General features: G+C 36.7%; 1 protein-coding gene across 5 annotated transcripts in view; it reads right to left on the minus strand.

Moving 5' to 3' along the window:
• FAF1 (Fas associated factor 1) overlaps positions 1–21,276 on the minus strand; it is a 523,240-nt gene that overhangs the window by 96,920 nt on the left and 405,044 nt on the right. For all 5 annotated transcript variants that reach the window (NM_007051.3, XM_047442745.1, XM_047442743.1 and 2 more), the window contains 2 exons: positions 5,645–5,781; positions 1,422–1,510 (listed from right to left, as the gene is read on the minus strand). In NM_007051.3, coding sequence (NP_008982.1) covers positions 1,422–1,510; positions 5,645–5,781 — 226 coding nt within the window. The remainder of the gene's footprint in view (positions 1–1,421; positions 1,511–5,644; positions 5,782–21,276) is intronic.

The following is a 21,276-nucleotide window of genomic DNA, read 5'->3' on the forward strand; positions in this document are numbered from 1 at the left end:
TCTCAGTGTTCTCATCTGAAAAGTATAGATAATCATACCAATCTGTGCTAGATTATCTGCCATTTACCCCCTCAGGATCCATGTTCTCTACACAGCTTTTTGCCCATGGAGGCTCTCCTACCTTCCAGCTTCTAATTAGGCTAAATTAATAGGGATACTAGCAGAAGATTAGAGAAGGAAGGTGAAGCTATTCCCTACTTTCCTCTCTATTAGGCCACCAAGGTTGGCTATATCCCTCTGTCAGAAGCAGTCCTCTCCATACAGCACCCTCTCCTAGGCTTTCAGGCCTAGAGATGATAATGGTTCCCTTTAGCCTTGGGGTCTATATTATCTTCTGCTGATAATTTTTTTGAGACATATTCTCACTCTGTCACCCAGGCTGGAGTACAGTGGCATGATCTTGGCTCACTGCAACCTCCACCTCCCAGGTTCAAGCGATTATCCTGCCTCTCAGCCTCCCGAGTAGCTGGGATTACAAGCACATGCCACCATACCCAGCTCATTTTTGTATTTTTAGTAGAGATGGGGTTTCACCATGTTGGCCAAGCTAGTCTTGAACTCAGTGATCGACCTACCTCAGCCTCCCAAAGTGCTGGGATTACAGGTGTGAGCCCCTGTGCCCAGCCTCTTCTGTTGATTTTTGAAAACCCTGCCCACATCTTTAAAAATGGTCACCTTATTAAACTCTTCTTAAATAACCTAGTTTAAAAGTGTCTATTTACTGCCATAACACTGATTGATATACAACTTCACGGGTTATTTTGAGGATCATATGAGATGATGATTAGTGCTTAGCACAGTGCCTAGCACATGATAAATACTAGGTAAGTATTGAACACTATTGTCATCGATAATGTTTTTATTATTATTTTATTTGAGGTTCTATGTTCATGTTATCTATAACACCTGAATATGTTTAGGAGGTTGAGAAAACACCTGAATATGTTAAGGAAGCTGAGAAATTCAGAATGCTGGAGATCTTTTGCTAATGCTCACAGTACTTCAAAAATATATTCAAATGTAAAATGTGTTTATTGCTAATTAATCTCAATATTTAAAAAGAGTAAGAGGACCATAAAACTGAGTGATAAAATCCATATAGTAGACATAATTTCCTGGACTACAGTTTCTTCTATAAACATGCTTCTGAACTAATTTCTTGCAAATCGACTTCCTGTACCCACCCCAAATCTAGCAAAGTGTAAATAGTACATAAATTAAAACAAATTATTGGGTCTTGGGGTCATAAAAAGAATGGACTGAAAGGTAAACTCCATAGCATAAAAACCCTTGGTAAATTTGGAAATGCATCTTCATCATCCTTATTTATCGATCATATCATAGGCATGTATCATCATTTGACAAATTAAAATCCTATTAAAATCTCATCAAAATCCTATTAAAGATCTGCATAACCTTACCTCGTCCTTTATATCTTCCTGTTGTTGGGCTGTGAAGATCTCCATTGCAGCCATGAGTCTCATCATTAACTCATCTACTGTTGTGTTCCCTAAAAACATATAGAGATTGCCAAACTTTTATAATCATTTTATATATAACTTCAAATTATTAAAGTATTAGAAACTGGAAAGTCATTCTAGAATTAACCAGAAAGGAATAATCAGTCTAAAAAAATTACAGTTAAAATACTTTTGTGGTTTTATTGAAATGTTTCATATGTTCAATAAGAAATAGTAGTATACTGGCAGTTGAAATTTCGGAAGTTATATTTGAGGGAGCAGTTTCTTAATGAGAAGGACTTTTAGCACTATATAGAAGAATGTCCAAATCATGAAGTTCAAAAGTTCTGTCAAATTATGAAAACATATCTTGTTAATAACACTAGCAACAACTACCAATTGTTTATATATCACTGATTAGGCTAAGCACTTTTATACCATCTCATTTAATCTGTACAACAAATCTATGAAGGATTCATTATGATTTGGTTTTAAAGAGAAGAAAAATGAGTCTTAGCTCAAAAAAACCTCTCTGACTAAGGTCAAGCTGGTTAAGTGGTGAGGCCAGAATCTGAAACCAGAAGAGGCTGACTCGAAGCCTGTCCTCTTTGCCGCCCACCTCAGTCTATTACCTTTACTTACAATTATCTTCTATCATCAAAAATCCTCCAGTGAAAGAAATAGTAATTCAATTTCTGAAAAAAAGATTTCTTTTTTTGCCCAATTGATATTTCTCCCTTTCAGCTGCTTTTAAATGATTCTTATGATCTTTATAAAGAAGGTATTTTTAATGTTTGATTTTCTTTAATGTCATTTTATTCCAACCGAGTCCATAACAAACATATAGCACATATGTGCCATTTCCTGAACACATTTAAGTCATTGTTATTTGCTTGGGATGTACCTACAAAAGAAAAATTCATGAGGATATATAAAGATATGACAATTCTCTTCTCTCAAACCTACAGGCAGAAAGAGTTAGGTTTTCTCCAAGGCTTGAGAAGGGATCTTCTTCTCCATTAATGCAATGGCCATCCTTTACAGGACAATAAAGACCAAACATTCTTGCTGGCATTTTTCCAGAGGGCTTGACTAACATGATCTTTCAGTGGTCCTTTCCCTAATTATCCTTATGACCATTGGCAGCATGGGTTTAGGGAACATCTATGGTCCTTGGCAAAAGAAATGATCTAATTTGTTCACATCAGTACTACTCACTCAGTAAATGAGTTACAGGACAAATGCTATCTTGGCACTAAGAAAACAGAACTGGTTTTATAGTCAGAGTTCTAACTCTAATTCCATTACTTACAAGCTATATAATCTAGTACCTGGAAATTGGCACATGACAAAGGCTTTAATGAATATTTATTCAATAAATAAATAAATGAATAAGTGAATAAATGGACTGTAGCTCTCTAAGGATCAATTTCCTTTTCTCAAAATGGAGATAACACTATGTAGTGTTCTTAGAAGGAGTGGAGATAACGTAAAGTATATACAAATCATTGGTAGTTAATATTAATAGATATGACAGATGACAAAAGAAGTTTAGGAGCACCTTCAGTGTAGATTTTTTATTCTTTTGAGACAGGGTCTCGCTTTGTTGCCCAGGTCTCAAGTGATCCTCCCACCTCAGCCTTCCAAGTAGCTGGGATTATAGGTATGTGCCACCACACCTAACCAATGTAGATTTTATTATTGGGCAAGTCTCTGGGTTTCTATGTTTTATTTAAAAACTGTAGTGGCTAAGACTCGGAGCATGGGAAATGGGTACTATATGGAGTACACTGGAATCATCAGTGGGAAAATACTATAGTTGTATAGGTTGACTACATACTGACCACTAATTTTTAGGCTTAAGTCACTGCTTATCAGCTATGTTTTAGCCCTAACTGGAAGGCTCCATTGCCAAACTGGACTTGTAGGTACTACATATTTAAGCCCTTATTGATCAAAGACAGAGAAAAAGTATACCAGTTAATGCAGTTCAGGGCAAACTTACTCTTTATAGTTGATTGCAGCAGTTCTCAAACTTTTTGGTCTCAGGACCCCTTTACACTGTTAAAAATTACTGAGATCCCCAAAGAACTTTTGTTTATGTGGATTATGGCTATTAACATTTACTGTGTTAGAAATTAAAATAGAAATATTTAAAATAAATTTATCAATCCATTTAAAAGTAACAATAATAAACCCATTACATGTTAATATAAATATTACATTTTTATGAAACATGACTATTTTCCAAAAGAAAAAGTTTAGTGAGAAGAGCAGCATTGTAACATTTTTGCAAATCTCTGTAATGTGTGTGCTTAATAGAAAACAACCGTATTCTGTATTCTCGTACCTACATCTACACTAACCAGTTACAATATATTGTACTGGTTGAAATTTACGAAGAAAATCTGGTCACACAAAGATATGTAGTTGGAAAAGGGACAAGTATTTTCATAAATGTGGATGTTCTTTGATAATACACTTAAACTGACAAGTGTAAGTTTTCTTCAAATTAGATGCACATGGAATTTGAAACCGTATCAATGAAATCTGTGTACTCTGTTACATTAAAATCTATTGCCCTTTGAAAGGATCTTTTATCTATACATGATTTTATAACATACATTGGTCATTTGTAAAATATTGGTTCACTGAGTTATGCATTTCTCTGCTGAATGCTGACACACTTCATTATAGGATATTAAAAAAAAAAAATCACAGAAAACATCTTGGCAACTACCCAGGCTACATAAGCATAGTTTGCCTGTCAGTAATATTTTCAAGTAAAAATAATTTCTATAAGAAATAAAAAGCAAGTATTTCAGTGTAAGCAACCACACCAGTGCTTTTCTTCCAGACCACCAGTATACTTTAGTATGCAGCAGAAGTGCTTTACCCATACCTCCCATTGTGCCACATAAACTATTAAAAGGGTTAAAATTTAATAAAAGTAATAATTTTTACTGCTTCATCAAGGACATTCTTAAGGCTTTTTCTTTTCTTTTTTAACTAAATACATGGCAATGAAGAATATGACTACTATTGCAGTTTTGTGTTATGGCTTTGATTCGTGCTAAGGTGCCAAGAGTTTTTATAAACTATTCCTTTTGAGCCACTAGTGCAAATGTCAACACAGTAAAAAAGGCAAAAAAAAAAAAAAAAAAGTCTTATTACAGTTAGGAAAATAATTTTGACCTTACAGATATCCTAAAAGGGTCTAGTCTGATGTCTACAAACCACACCTTGAGAAACACTAGTTCTTGCAACATTGCCTCTGACAGGGAAAGCAGGAATGAAGTGTTATCTTCATTATCCATTTACCCTATGCAAATCAGTTCCCCTGGAGGTCTTTTTAAACACTGTTTATGAAATTGAATGCTCTAGTTATAGAGAAAACATAAAATGCTAGAGGTCTGGTTTTATTTGGGTTTTAAAGGCACTGCAATTTACACATATCCCCTCCTCCCAATCAGACTTAAATGGAGGCAGAAATTAGTATACCAGATATAGTTTTAGCTTGAGGCACTTGAAAATCTTTTCCCCAGTGGCATAGAGAAGATATACTGTTCAACCTAAGCTTTGTAATGAACAAGGTAATATTTTACACCAACCCTTGGAGTGCATTACTAACAGTAAACAAAACAAAATCATTCACTTCTTTTTTGGTAAAGAATGTGCACTGTGGTTAAATTCACAGGCATCCCACAGCTTCATGCTTCAGGGTTGCACCCTAAACATGGAATCATACAAATAAGAAGAAACAATTGTCACTGTGAAAAATTCAATCTTCAATATACAGTGACTGGATTTTCTAGATAACTAAAGATAAGTACTTCTTCCAATTAATCAACATTATAACAATAAATCAATATAAATAGAAATGTCACACTTGACAACTGATTATGTCCTAATTGATAGATTATACAATTTAGCAATTCTGAACATTTAACTTGAACATCCTGTGCCCCAAGGGTTGTGCAATTTTATTAAGATGTTTCTTTTAGATTTTCATGCAGCATATTATTTTTTATAGCACCTATATTTTTTGAAGACATTTTTCAGGATATTCTATATTTTCAAATGCAAAGATATTTACTAATAGAAATATTGTCAGCTTGGGTGGAAAAACTATAAAGTTATCACATACCAGGAAGGCTTTACTCTCCTTGTGACATGTACTTTACCTTGTATCACATTCAACACTTCATTAGATGATCGCTTTCCCATAATAATCAGGAAAAGCGGAAACTGATCCGTTTTTTGAGTCCGAATGGTTTGTGCCACAACACTGCCAAAGTGTCTATTGCACATAGTGAGAAATCTAAAAGGAGACAAAATACAAAGTAAGTTTTGCTTTGTAGTTTAATAGATTTACTAGTACTTCAACAAAGAACTCATTGTGTTATTAGTTATGTTAAATTAGACAGCCTGCCTGATATCAATATGTAAAATCTTGCTATATTGAGTTTTCAAACATATCTGACATAATACAGAAGTGATTATCATATAGAAAAGCAGGAAGCATACCCTAAATGCTGTCTGGGGCTGACAGCATAGGATTCTTTTCTTAGTCTTTTTTTTTGAGACAGAGTCTCTCTCTGTCACCCAGGCTGGAGTGCAGTGTTGTGATCTCGGCTCACTGAAACCCCCGCCTCCCGGGTTCAAGCAATTTTCTGCCTCAGCCTCCTGAGTAGCTGTGATTACAAGCTCCCGCCACCACACCTGGCTAATTTTTTTTGTATTTTTAGTAGAGACAGGGTTTGACCATCTTGGCCAGGATGGTCTTGAACTCCTGACCTTGTGATCCACCTGCCTCGGCCTCCCAAAGTGCTGGGATTAGAGGTGTGAGCCACTGCACCCGGCAGGATTCTTAGCCTTAAACACTACAACACTACCTTTAAACTATGAGAAAAACAAACTACATTAATTTCAAGAGGATAAAATTTCTTAAATAGAATAATATAGTGTTGTGCAAAGATAAATTGACTAGCATCATCCTAAAAAACAGAATTTAGCAACGTTTTCACAAGTCTTCAGAATCAACAACTGTACTTTACAATTATGTTTTCTCCAGTAGTAGTAGGTCTTCTAGTTTCATACTTAGCATGAGATAAAAATAATAATTCTAAGCTTTTGACCAAAAAAAGCTCTGAGATATTAGCATACTGAAGTCTAGCATTAGTATTCTTAACACGATCTGGAATAAATGAAAAAACTGATAAAGCTTTTCTCTTCTATTAGAGGACTGTTTGAAATTAGCATTTCTTTCAAGAGAAAAGGGTAGCTTATGATATGTTTTCAGATCTGATGGTAAAAAGTAAATGTCATAATAATAATGAATTATGAAAGACCAAATGCAAATATAGAATGCTTTAATAAGATCCAATTTAATAAAGTCTGTAAAAATAATGGACTTTTAATAACACAGGTCACAAAAGGCAAAACAGTGGAAATTCTGGGGACTAGCCACTGGTACTGGCTTATTAATTCTTAATTATGTTCATGAAAGGCAACTTAAATCGTGTGTTTTCTTATGCCTTATGATAATATTTTAGGTAACAACTCCTCTGAAATGTATGTTCTAGCTGATGAGCAAAGTCCTGTCATCACATGCATTAGAAGGTAAATCTATTTGAAAAGACAAACGGCATTAAAATGTCATGTGTTCACATTCATTTGATATCCAAATTCAAAACAGAATCAAACCTCTTAATTTTTAAAGCCAATACATTTTCTGTCTATAGAAATTCATCTCAGAAATTTAGACTGAATCCTCCATAAAATCTGTGCTATGACTATAGAAAGTAGGTGCTGCTAAGGGCCACTAGAACTGTTGGCAAGAGTGTTAAGTTAGCACCATTGCAATAAGTTCATTGGAAGGCAGGTTTAAATACACATTCAGAAGAGCAATAACCAGACCTCATGGCAATTTCATATCAGTGCCACCATCAAAATTCAAATTCTCACATTCCACAACTATGATGGGATAAAAGGTGCTCAAGCAGCCTAACCTTCTATGCCAAATTTCACACCCATATAGCTTAACTCATCGATAGGGATGTATAGATCGTGAGATTAGAAAATTAGGATCTTTTTGTGCTTTTTTCTAAAATATTTTGAGTCAGTCTTGACTCTGGCCTGATCATTGGCAACCTCAAAAACAAAAGATGTCAAAAAAATAGTTGGAATGTCATTTCCCACAAAAGGGAGTAAGTCCTTGTTGCTTTCACACCAATGGATTAATTAAGCAGATATAACAAATTATCTGCCCATAAGTGCTATTAAGTACTAGTACTAGCTAAACAGGATACCTACCAAAAAAAGAAAGAACAAAGAAATAAAGGAAAGAAAGAGAGAGAGAGAAGAGAAATAAAAAAAAAGGGAAAAGCAGGCAAGTTCAGTGGTTTTAAGGATTCCATCTCAACATAATTTTGCCTGGAAATTGTGTACTTCCCATATTCTTTTTGTGAAAATGAGCAAGAAGATAAAATAATTATGAAAATGTAGATATCTTATTGGGTATAAAATAATATATAACAAAACTTTCACCACTATACAAAGCATGTTTGCGGTGCAGATCGCAAAGCACACAGCCATTCAATAAATTATATAAAAACAACAACAAAGTGATCAATTTTCTGCTAGTTATTGGAAAATCACTCTAATTTTTTGGAAGTAGTTGGGAGATACACAGGAATCACACAACCAGCTGACACTTTATGGTAGCCTTAACCAACAATTTGTTCTAATCAAAGAGAGACTTAAAATTTTAATTAATCTGATCAATCTTCCTAAAATATGAATTATGTTTGAGATTTTCAAATTGCAATCATCAAGAGCCTGTAGGGCTGATGGACAGTATGAAATTGTAAAAATTCCTACTTGTCAATTCATTCCATTATAATTAACAAGAAGGTGGTACTTCACAGTACAGATGTCAAATCTTTCTCATGGCTAGGAGACTCTGCTTCTTCCTCCCAAGATCATTTATGCACAGGGCTACCATTTATAACACTACCAGCAGCAAAAAATTCAGTTCAAAACATTAGAAGGAAAATAGATGGGGAAAAACCAGTCATTTAAAGATAAAATGCATGGTTCTCATAATTGTGGTATTTTCTTCCTTTTGAAGAGATAAAAGTGTACCAGTGCATCCAGTGGCAGGGCCAAAGTTGTCAACCCAACTGCACATGGCATTCATCAGAGTTAGATGTCATAAAGTGATAAATGGTTTCCATAAGTAAATTCCTGCAATCTCAAACCCAAAGTGGGGAAGCAAGGGCAAACCACTCTACAACAAAGGGAAATGGCTCTGTTTTTAAATAATACAATTTCTGAATAAATTGAACAGCCTGCCCATCATAGAACATTTGAGGAGGGGACTAACGAGTTGCCAAATCAACCCAAGGCCAAATGCTAAAATTACAAATTTGAAAAGACAATAAATGCCCTCACTAAGGGAATGATACAAGGGAAGAAGGGAGAGAAGGATGAAGGAAGGGTTGAGGCAATGAGTGAAATGAAATAGTTAATCATAAGTCAGATATACTTTTATATTTTCCAGTTCTTGCTATTAGAAAACTGGTAAGATAAGATGAAATGGTTTTAATCTAAAGTTTGGAGAGAAATATAAACAGAATATCTGATGGTTAGCATGTATTAATCACTTGTAAAATTTTTCATTGCTGAAGCATAGATATTTCTATCTTGTTAACGGAAACCAGGATTACTAATAAATCAGATATGGCAAAAAGTAATCTTGTTTAAATTCAAAACAGGATATTGTTTAATTTCTTTCAACTTAAGTCATAATTACCTAAGTCACTGGCTTTCACCAAGCTATACTCTAACATAAAATATATATTAAATGGAACCTAGCAATTTAGGGGAAGGGAGATGAAATTCCACAAATGCTCACTGCCTACCTACCGTATACCAGGTGCTGTAAAAGGAAGAATATTTGATAAAAAATAGAGGGCACAAAACTGTCAACTACTCTATTTAAGGGTTCCTGATTACTACATATTTCAGTGTGATTCCCATGAGTTTAAAAGAGCCTCAGGTATAAAGTGGAAATAACACTTACCTTTAAAACACTTGTCTTCTTGTAAGGATGAAATAAGTTAAGATACAGAAAACACTTGGACTTGTGCCTAAAATATGGTAGGCCCTTAAAATTGGTCGCTATTTTACTATTATTAAATGCATAATAATATTTAACACTTTTATCATCATTTCTTTTAGGATTAAAAATGATAGTTTATAGCTACAGGCCAGCTCTATGAGACTTTATTTTGCACAGGAAGATACATTAGCAAAGATTTGTTGACTAAACCAACACTGTCACTGTTTTTTTTTTTCCATTCAGAAAATGAATGGGCAGGTATCAATATTTAGAAAATAAGACAATACATTATAGATGCTGCATTTGTACAATACCACAAAATTTTAAACATTTACAACTGGATACAAAACTAAAATCACTATTTTCTTTTAAATACATTTATATTTAATCATAATATGGCGAAAGGTCAAGGGGGAAGTGGATCCATGTGGAAAGGGCATCCTCCCTTTATAACAACTTGCTCTCCTGGGAAGAAATCCATTCCTGGGATTGCTAAACTAGCTTAATGAGAACAAGAGGGAGAACCCACTACCATGAGAACAGTCAAGGACATGGTGGGTCCATGACCCAGGCATCTCCCATTAGGCTCCACCTCTTAAAGGTTGCACCTCCCAACATTTCCACACTAAGAATTAAGGTTCCCATATGAGTTTCGGTGGGGATGCTCAAACCATAGCATAATCCTAAATCTTTGGTTTAAACTAAACTAAGTTAGGAAAACAGAGTATATGACTAAGCTAGGGGAAACTAAGGTAAAGGCAGTGATCCTAAACCTTTAGTGGCCTATAAATCACCTAGGGAATTTATTTAAAAGGCAAGTTCCTCAGCCCCATTCCCACAGAGAAGGTGATTCAATAGATTTGAGTCAGGAAACAGCCTTTTTAATACGTCTCCAACCCCACCCCAGGTAATTTTGATGCAAGTGATTAATGGCCACACTTTGAGACACATTGCTTTCTGGACACAGGACTCTCTTTGTAAGACTTTAATCTGTCTCTGAAGGCAGTTCTTAAAAGAAATCATCATAAAAATATTTTGGGCAATGATAGCTTCACTGGACCAAGTGTCTAGTCTCCTGAGTCAACCACTTTAAAAATATTAATTCCCACTTGCTTCATTTGTATGGGTAAACTCCAATCTGATCTGAAAAAAATACTAATAAATATCTCAAAAGTCTGTGAGCTCCATGTGATGGAGGGAAAACAAAGCAGGGAAGGGGAGGTTGTAATATAAAATAGAGTGGTCAGGGAAAGTCTCAATGAAACGCTGACATTTGATCAAAGACTCAAAAGAGGTGAAGGAGGAAATGAAATATTTATCTCAGGGAAGAGAATTTCAGGTGTAGAGAACAGGAAATAAAAGACATTGAAGTTGGAAAGTATCTAGCATATTTGAAAGGTAACAAGGAGGTTACTATAGTTGGAGCAGAGTGAAGCATAAAAGACAAAAATTGATGAGTTTTATTAAACTTACATGGTAAAACACACACACACACCACAGAAAAAAACAAAAACAAAAACACCATAACTAGGCCAAAAGATAAATAACAAACGGGGAAATTTTCTGAATTCCAAACCACAAAAAAGAGGCTAATTTACTCATTATATATAGAATTCTTACAAACTAGTAAGTAAAAGATCAACAAAAAATAAAGTTTCTAGAAATGGAAATAGTAATAGCACATAAGCATGTTAAAAAGATATGCAAAATTACACATATTGAATTTGCTCCTAATTATAGCTACATATATATATATATTCGAGATGGAGTCTTGCTCTGTCACCCAGGCTGGAGTGCAGTGATGCCATCTTGGCTTACTGCAACCTCCGCCTCCCGAGTGATTCTCCTGCCTCAGCCTCCCAAGTAGCTGAGATTATAGGTATGTGCCACCATGCCTGGCTAATTTTTGTATTTTTAGTAGAGATGGGGTTGCACCATGTTGGCCAGGCTGGTCTTGAACTCCTGATCTCAAGTGATCCACCTGCCTTGGCCTCCCAAAGTGCTGGGATTATACAGGTGTGAGCCACCATGCCCACCTAAAGCTATATTTTAAAAAAAAAGAAAAAAGAAAAAAAAAACATTTTTCACCTGTCAGATTAGTAAAGAAAAAAAACTGGCTTTGGCAAGGTTACAGGAAAACCAGGAAAAAGTCACTACTATACACTGTTAGTATAAGTGAAACTGATACAATTCCTTCATGGGCAATTTGCCAATAAAAATTATAAATCACACATACTCTTAAACAAGCATTTAGTCTATAGATATATTTTCATGTGGAAATCACCTATGTACACACAGTTAATTACTGGATGTTTGTAACAGCAGAATACTGGGTGTAACCCATCAATTACTGGATGCAGTAGCTCACACCAGTAATCCCAGCACTTTGGGAGGCCAAGGTGGGGGGAGGAAATTGCTTAAGCCCAGGAGTTGAAGACCAACCTGGATAACAAAGTGAGACCTGCCTCTACAAAAAATAAAAAAATTAGTTGGCAAGGTGGCATATGCCTATAGTCCCAGCTACTTGGGAGGCTGGGGCAGAAGGATCGCTTGAGGCCAGGAATTTGAAGTTACAGTGAGCCATGATCATGACACTGCACTCCAGCCTGGGCAACAGAGTGAGACCCTGTGTCTAAATCAATCAATCTTGGTTAAATAAAATTATAGTATATTATGGAATTTAAAGAGATACTATGTAGCCATTAAATAGATTTCTTTATTAACTGATATGGAATATCTTTATGAAGTAATGTTAGTGATAAAAGGAAGGTATTAAATTGTGTTTACCATTTGTGTAAAACTGGGGAAAAATAAATACATATTAATTTGGTTTCTTTTTTTGTTTGTTTTTGAGACAGAGTCTCACTCTGTCGTCTAGGCTGGAGTGCGGTGGTGCAATCTCAGCTCACTGCAACCTTTGCCACCTGGGTTCAAGCGATTCTCCTGCCTCAGCTACCTGAGTAGCTGGGATTACAGGCACGCGCCACCACACCTGGCTAATTTTTGTATTTTTAGTAGAGATGGGGTTTCACCATGTTGGTCAGGTTGGTCTCGAACTCCTGGCCTTGTGATCCTCCTGCCTCAGCCTCCCAAAGTGCTGAGATCACAGGCATGAGATACCGCGCCCGGCCATTAATTTGTTTATATACAAAATAACCTCTGGATGGATAAATAAGAATGTTGCCTCTGGGGAGGGTCACATAGATATGGGTTTAAGAAGGAGACTTTTTATTACATACCTTTTTATGCCTTTGAATTTTGATTAATGTGAATGTGTTAGCCAATCATAAAACTGGTAAAAGAGCAAGTCCCTTACATGAAGAAAAACTGCATGTAATCCCAAACCTTTAACAGTGTTAAACATATTTTTCTATTTTATATGAGTCTTCTGTTCAAATCTATCTTTTTTGCAGTGGTGTGATATTGGCTCACTGCAACCTCCGCCTCACGGGCTCCAGTGATCCTCCTACCTCAGCCATTGGAGTAGCTGGGACTACAGGTAAGCGCCACCATGCCTGGATAATTTTCGTATTTTTTTTTTTGTAGAGATGGGTTTCACTGCATTGCTCAGGCTGGTCTTGAACTCATGGGCTCAAGCAATCCACTGGCCTCACCCTCCCAAACTGCTGGGATTACAGGCATGAGCCACCACACCCGGACCTCAAATTTTTTTCTAAACAGACAATATAATGCCTCACGATGCAAATGCACATATTGTAAGCATGTTGGAGAACAAACCAAAGGTAATGTTAAGAAAACACAGGATGAGATTTTGGGAGAATTTAACCTAAAAAAGCATATCTCATCTGCCTGAGGCTTCCAGTAATAGTAAACTGTTAAATTATCTCAATAGATTAGTAGTCAGAGTTTTAAAAAGCCACGTAATTTTTTTTTTTTTGAGATGGAGTTTTGCTCTTGTTGCCCAGGCTGTAGTGCAACGGCGTGATCTAGGCTCACCTCAACCTCCCACCTTCCAGGTTTAAGTGATTCTCCTGCCTCAGCCTCCTGAGTAGCTGGGATTACAGGCAAGTGCCACCACACTGGGCTAATTTTGTATTTTTAGTAGAGACAGGGTTTCTCCATGTTGGTCAGGCTGGTCTCGAACTCCTGACCTCAGGTGATCCACCTGCCTCGGCCTCCCAAAGTGCTGGGATTACAGGCGTGAGCCACCGCGCCCGGCAAAAGCAATGTAATTTCTTAATCTTTCTCCTTGTTGCCATCTAGAAATAACTCAAATGCAAAAGGCTTTGAGGCACTTAAAGTTTAATAACAAGGGTATAGCTAATCTATAGGAGACAATTTATCCTAAGTTTTTTGAGGAACAATAATCATAAATAATAATTGGCTTTTTCTTACCACTAAGTAAGAACATAAACATTTAAGTACTTGAAAATTTCTTCATAAAAATGGTGTTTACTTTTTCTCAAGTGTTGATCATAGACTCTTAGGAGGGATAATAGAGAACATCTAATTCAATCTCTTATCAAATGCAGAAATTCCTTCTCTAGCAATGCAAAGAAAAGATTCACTTTCCAGGGCCTGAATAAGAGAGCCAATTTATGTTTAATGCCATATAACATTTCTTCTGTGTTTTTGCCTTTTACCAACCAATAAATATTTATGAGGGCCCACCAAATATATGACGAGATAAGACATGGTTTTTGTCTTTAGCATAGTAAGAATATTTTGCCTTTGATAAATCAAGGCCCCCAAACAGTAAATGTAATCTAGTATATTACTGGGGCCTACATTTAGTGGTTCAGATGAAGTGCTGGGGAAAATCAGAGAAAGGAACGGGTGCTTAGAAGTCAGGGAGAACTTGATGTTGTAAGGTGCAACTCCTAGGACAGCTAGTAGAAGAACCATTGCTTACTCACCTCTGTATTCCTAGCACCTACTATATTTGTTGCATGAATGGGCCAATTCATGCTTCAATAACCTTTATCTTCACTATGACAATGTTGACCATACAATCTTCCTTTTTCTCTTCCAACTACTTTTGAAATCAGTTTAATTCAAAGACAGTCAGTGTGAATAATTACAGTCTTCAGGGCCCTTTTCACTGTGTTTCCACCTCCACAGGCCACTTGAACCCTCAAAATAAGCAGGTGTTGGTCCACAAGTTTATGATTCTAAACTTACTGTCTAATTTTTAGCAAACTGTACTTTTTATATAATTTCATCCTGTCACCACCCACTGACTGAAAATGTGACTTAGAAAAGGTATAAAATATCCAAATATTAATATATTAGAGAAATTAGGAATTGCTGCAAGCAGCATAGTATTGTGGGAAGAACAAAGACTATGGAGTCGAACAAATCTGATTTTGTAAATTAGCTGTTTCTTTGGATAACTTAAGGGCCTCAGCTTTCTCATCTATAAAATGAAGATAATAATACCTACTTTTGGAATTGGTCTGTGGATTAATAAATTCTACTTGTTTTTCTTTCTTTTTGTGTGCTTCAGAGTCAAAATTGGTTTTTCCACCCCCATCTCTCCAAATTAAAGGTATGGTGAAATGTTTCCTAAAATAAGTTATAGCACCAATCTCAGACTCAGATCACTAAACAGGAAGTTATTCTTTACACCATGCTTGCCACTGTATTATACTGCTGCATAACTTCTAGAATATGCACCAACATCATTGTAAGATAACGTCCTACTCAGAGCAGAGATTTAAAGTATATGTATCTCTACTTTAAATCTATCTATATATTTAACGTTGTCATGTTCCCTAAATTTTCTAGCTGCCAAATTTAGAGACTTTGTTTTTTGTTTTGGATTTCTTTTAAAGGGGTGGGGTCTCACTCTGTTGCCCAGGCTGGAGTGCAGTGGCATGATCATAGCTCACGGAAGGCTTGAACTCCTGGGCTCAAGCGATCCTTCTGCCTCAGCCTCCCGAGTAGCTGGGACTACAGGCATGCACCACCATGCCCAGCTAAGTTTTAAAAAAACAAAATTTAAGGCTGGGCATGGTGGCTCACGACTGTACTCCCAGCACTTTGGGAGGCTGAGGTGGGCGGACCACGAGGTCAGTTCAAGACCAGCCTGGCCAACAAGGTGAAACCCCGTCTCTACTGAAAATACAAAAAGTAGCTGGGCGTGGTAGTGGGCACCTGTAATCCCAGCTACTCGGGAGGCTGAGACAGGAGAATTGCTTGAACCGGGGAGGTGGGGGTTGCAGTGAGCTGAGATCCCACCACTGCACTTCAGCCTAGGTGACACAGAGAGACTCCATCTCAAAAAACAAAAACAAAAACAAAAAAATTAAGAGACACAGACTTGCTATATTGCCCAGGCTGATCACAAACTCCTGGGCTCAATCGATCCTTCTAAGTAACTGGGATTACAGGCATGAGCCACTGTGCACAGCCAAATTTGGACACTTTGTGATTTTTATCATTATATAAAATGTTTCAGCATCATTTATTTCAGGGTTGGTTGGTTTCTCTTGGAACTTTGACATTTACACATAATGTCCTCATGTATTTGAAAACAACTATCACCCTAATGGATATAAAAATGTGGGAGTGCATGGCTGGGCACCGTAGCTCACGCCTGTAATCCCAGCACTTTGGGAGGCCAAGGCAGGCAGACCACGAGGTCAGGAGATCAAGCCCATCCTGGCTAACATGGTGAAACCCCTCTCTACTAAAAATACAAAAAAATTAGCCGGGCATGGTGGCAGGCACCTGTAGTCCCAGCTACTTGGGAGGCTGAGGCAGGAGAATGGCGTGAACCCAGGAGGCAGAGCTTGCAGTGAATCGAGATCGCGCCCCTGCACTCCAGCCTGGGCGACAGAGTGAGACTCCGTCTTTAAAAAAAAAAAAAAAAAAAAAAAAAGTGGGAGTGCTTCAGTTGCAATCTCACCCACAGGAGGAAAGTCTTTAACAGATAAGTGACCAGGAAAACAGAATATTGGCATCTTAGTCACTCATCAAAGCTTTCAAGCAAGAGCTGATTGTAACCCAGCACTTATTAAGCTCAATTCAGACAGCTGATGTTTAACACAAAGAGCTGAATAGACAGGTTGACTGTGTAGGCTCTTCCTCTAAACTTTATACCTGTTATGAGTTAGGTAATCATAAAGGAGTATTTAAGGACCACATCACCTAAACTCCCTAAAGAATTATCATTACTGAAAAAAAGATTAAATACAAAGCCCTCTGCTTTTACAGGGGATTTATATTTTAAAAAACTATTTAAAATAATCTGTCTTCTGCAAAACAACAGTAGAAGTTTATTGTCTATTACTTTTCCTAAGGACTCTCAAATAAAATCATGCAACAAAACTCTCCCTTGACTTCAGTGTCAGGAAATCTTGAGAAGAACTATTATGATTCCATATGTCAGAAAATGAGAACTGTAAATGGTAAAATGTAAATGCTCTCAGGTGTGTGATCTGGCATATAAGAGAAATACAATAGATACATATGGAATGGACAGATGAATAAATGATTATATGCCTATGACATGTCCTTTCTCTCCTTTATCTGCTGGAATTCTACAGCTAAACTTCAACTCAGGTGCTTATAAATATTCATATCTATTTGCTACTTTTAATTGGTTTTCATCCAATTTTATTTTTTATTTTCCTATTTTATATTGTATGTACAGAGATTATGAGATTACGTATAGCTATTATGTCAATTTTTTAAAGGAGGCAAACTGTAAATGCTAAATGGAAAAAAAACCCAGACATATATACAGAGGGAAAATAAGAGGAGCAAGAATGTTTTCCCAATTCAAGCACAGTATATGGTACACAGTTTAATGGTATATAGTACACAGTATATGGTACACATATGGTACACAGCTTAATGAATACTTTTTTGGATAAAGAAATGAATAGATGGTAGAATGAATGAGACAGTAAAAAGCTAAAATTAATGATAATGAAGTAACTATCATGAGGAATCTGTGTCCCTAAAAACATGTAAATACCATGATTTTAAAATGTACAGACCAGTAAACTTGCTCACAATACCCACAAAACTTTAAAAAGTCACTTAGAAAGATGGTTTATGAACAATTAGAATACAGTAGCGATGAATGGCAGGCAGCATAGGCCCTTAAGAACATACTATTCCCAAAACTAACTGTGAGTTTCCTAGACTAAGAATGCATCAGCATTCCATAAATTTTGACTATCTGGATTTCAGTAAGGCATATAATAAGGTGTTCCAAAAGATCCTTTAGATAAGATTCAGAAATACAGGCTAAGGTAGACAATTCATTTGTCATCAGGAAATTCAATCTGTAGAATGCTACCAAATTGAGAGTAGTCTCAAATAGTTTACTAGCTGGCTTTGTCCTGTTAACATTTTCATAAATATCTGAGACAAATAAAATACTTACATGTAGATAAATGCACTGAGCACTTACTCTGTACCAGACTTTAAAATCAATCATCCCATTTAGTTCTAATAACTCTCTGATGAATGTAGTTTTATCTCCATTTCATGGTACGAAAACTGCAGGCCAGGTGCGGTGGCTCATGCTCATAATCCCAGCACTTTGAGTTGCCAAGGCGGGCGGATCACCTGAGGTCAGGAGTCCGAGACCAGCCTGGCCAACATGATGAAACCCTGTCTCTACTAAAAATACAAAAAAACTAGCCAGGCATGGTAGTGTGCGTTTGTAGTCCCAGCTACTCAGGAGGTTGAGGCAGGAGAATAGCTTGAACCCGGGAGGTGGAGGTTGCAGTGAGCTGAGATTGTGCCACTGCACTCCAGACTGGGCAACAGAGTGAGACTCTGTTTCCAAAAAAAAAAAAAAAAACTTCAGCTAGAGGGTTTAAGCAACTCACCCACCACAGTCACTATGGTGGCCTAGTGGCATAGCTAGAATTCCAATCGTGGTCTGAATAAATCCAAAGCTCATTCATATTCTTAATCATCATGATGCTCTGAATTCTTATAACATCAACAAATAATTATTTAGCATTTTAATAGGAAACAAAAGTGGAAAAGATTGATATAACTCTTATCCTTATAAAGCTTATATTCATTGGAAGAAATAGAAAATAAATGTTAAAGTAAGCAAAAGTAATGGCTTATTATGGAAAGTTCTATGAAAGTGCTATGAAAAAGAATGATGGTGAAGCCTTCTCTAGAAAGGTTCATCAGACCTTTCTGAAGGAATATATAGACAGGATAGAAAAATGGGCTCATTTCTGTCTTTCTGATAACTTCTTTTATTCTCAAGCAACTAGTGGGGGCAGCTGGGAGGGGAGGTAGAGAGGGGAATGATATATTTGGGGAATGAAGAGTAGTATGAAATAGATATCTCAGTTAGGCAAAGAAAACTAACTAGAGAATCCCAAATCCCAGTAGGCTTGCCCAGCATTATTGTGTGCTTATTTGAAGCTTGTGTTTATTTAAAAGAGAGAGAGAAAAAAGAGAAGAGAAAAGACAGTGTGATTTTCTCTAGCTGTGTTCAACTGCAAGGGTACAGGCATACAGAAGGTGAACAGGCGGGTCTAACAAAATGAGTGTAACAGAGAGAGTTTAAAGTATCACAAGGAAATTACAACGATGAACCTCAAAATCTAAACAGGATGAGGAATATGAAAACTGGATATAGGAAAGGGTAGATGGGGTGAGAGAAAGGTCAATAGATTGGAAGGCATGAGGAGATAAAAAAATCTTTAAGACCAGTGATACTTGAACAAATAAATAGGAGTGGTAGGAAGTGGTGATCAGAGCCAGATGTTTGAAATCAAAATATATGAGGCAATATAGTTTCTATTAGTGACCCCATCTAAATGTGGTAAATACAGAGAAGAAGAAAAATTTTCTGGAGAACATGTCTAGGAACCGAGAGGATTATCAAGAATGATGACAGGAGTAGAGATGATAAGGACTTAAGACTCATTTGTGGGTGATAAAACTTGTGAAGGTCAATAGACAGAATCTGAACCCCAAATGATCTTGTCAATCAACTGCATTAGTAAAGAATGGCAGAAATCTGGTTTAGCATCAACTCAAGCTGGAAAACAATGGGGTTTTAGATGATTCCCTGAGTTCAACAGAAGCCCACAATAAAATTTCAGATAGAACTGTGCACAGCACCAGACAAACCTCCTCTAGAGCACTATGCTTGATCCCGGCACCTTTAGAAGGGGCTGGGTCTAGACACACTATCATATGAAGAACAGTGAAAAGAACTAATTATATTTGGTAGGAAGAGGCAGGGAAAATAGGAAAAATGAGAACTAGAGTTACATTGATAAAAGGTTATAATGCTATAGAGAAGTTAGGCTTATATCAGGTAACTGCAAAACCAGAACCAAAAAGGATAAAGTTGAGGAAGCTCTCTATAGAAGAAGCATTGTAGTAAAGACATTTCCAGTTTTCAGAGCAGCTAAAAAAAAAAGCTATCTTTTGAAGCTTTCATTTCCCTGTCTTGGCAATATTCAAGCACAGGCTGGAGCAACATCAGCTAAGCATGTTATAGAAAAAAAGGCCTGGGTGGCTGCAAGTTGTACTGCTAAGGACACGTCTAATCCCTAACTCTAAGACTGGGTGAATTTCACGTTTATTTGTTCCTTGAACAAAAGGTCCATGGACTTCCCTTATACCTCCTGCAGGACTTTGCACACTAGATAATTATCTAGTACATTTTTGTTGCTGAATCATTCAGCATGGCAAGATCATGGGAAAAAAAGCATTATGTGGTAGAAAAGCACAGGTAGCATTGGGATTTATAGCTGGTATAGCCATTGCAATGACCTCACAGAACCTCTCTGAGCCACAAATAGTTTCCTCACATGTGAAATGGGATCTTGCTATTTACCCTGCAGAATTGTGGAAAAGATTAAATGAGGTAAATATATATATATATATATATATATATAGAGAGAGAGAGAGAGAGAGAGAGAGTCTTAAATTAGCACATTTATATAGTGTCTGGCACTATAATTAATTAAGTAGGTACTTAATTAATGGTTGTAGTTGTCATCATGTAGTTTGGCTTCTTAAAAAGCCGTACTATAGTCTTGCTCTTAGCTACTAATATACTTTTAACAGATATTCCTTGTTACAAAACGAAAGAGGAAGAAAATTACTGTCGTCTTCTTCACTACACCCCACTAAAATCACTCTGATCAGATTATTACAAACTGGAAAGGGTAGCATGCTTATGTTATAATCTGATATATCAAACCTCACCAAAATTTATTTTAAAAATGAACCCTTGCTTACCTCACATTTTTCTACTGAAAACAACTGTATCCAAGTCAGAATATTACAGACAAAGGTCTCAGGTCAAATAGGTGAGTCACTCTCTTTTCATAGATGAAAAAGAAAGATCTAGAAATGTTATACTACTTGTCTAATATCATCTTGTTTTTCGTATTTCCAGCCTGACTGAGCCTTACTTCTCAATTGCTCTACATTCTATGATGATTGACATCTGTCTGTCTGCACAAACAATGAGAAAACAGTTGTAATGAAAAATTGTGGTTTCTATGAGCCCAGGAGACCAGCCTGAGCAACATGGTGAAACCCCTGTCTCTACAAAAAAAAAATAATAATAGCTGGGCATGGCGGCATGAGCCTGTAGTCCCAGCTACTTCAGTCAGGAGGCTGAAGTGAGAGGATCACTTGAGCCCAGGTGGTCGAGGCTGCAGTGAGTCAAGATCGTGCCACTGCATTCCAGCCCAGGTGACAGAGCGAGACACACACACA

This window comes from Homo sapiens, chromosome 1, assembly GCF_000001405.40.
Source record: "Homo sapiens chromosome 1, GRCh38.p14 Primary Assembly".
In the NCBI taxonomy this organism is placed as follows: Eukaryota; Metazoa; Chordata; class Mammalia; order Primates; family Hominidae; genus Homo; species Homo sapiens.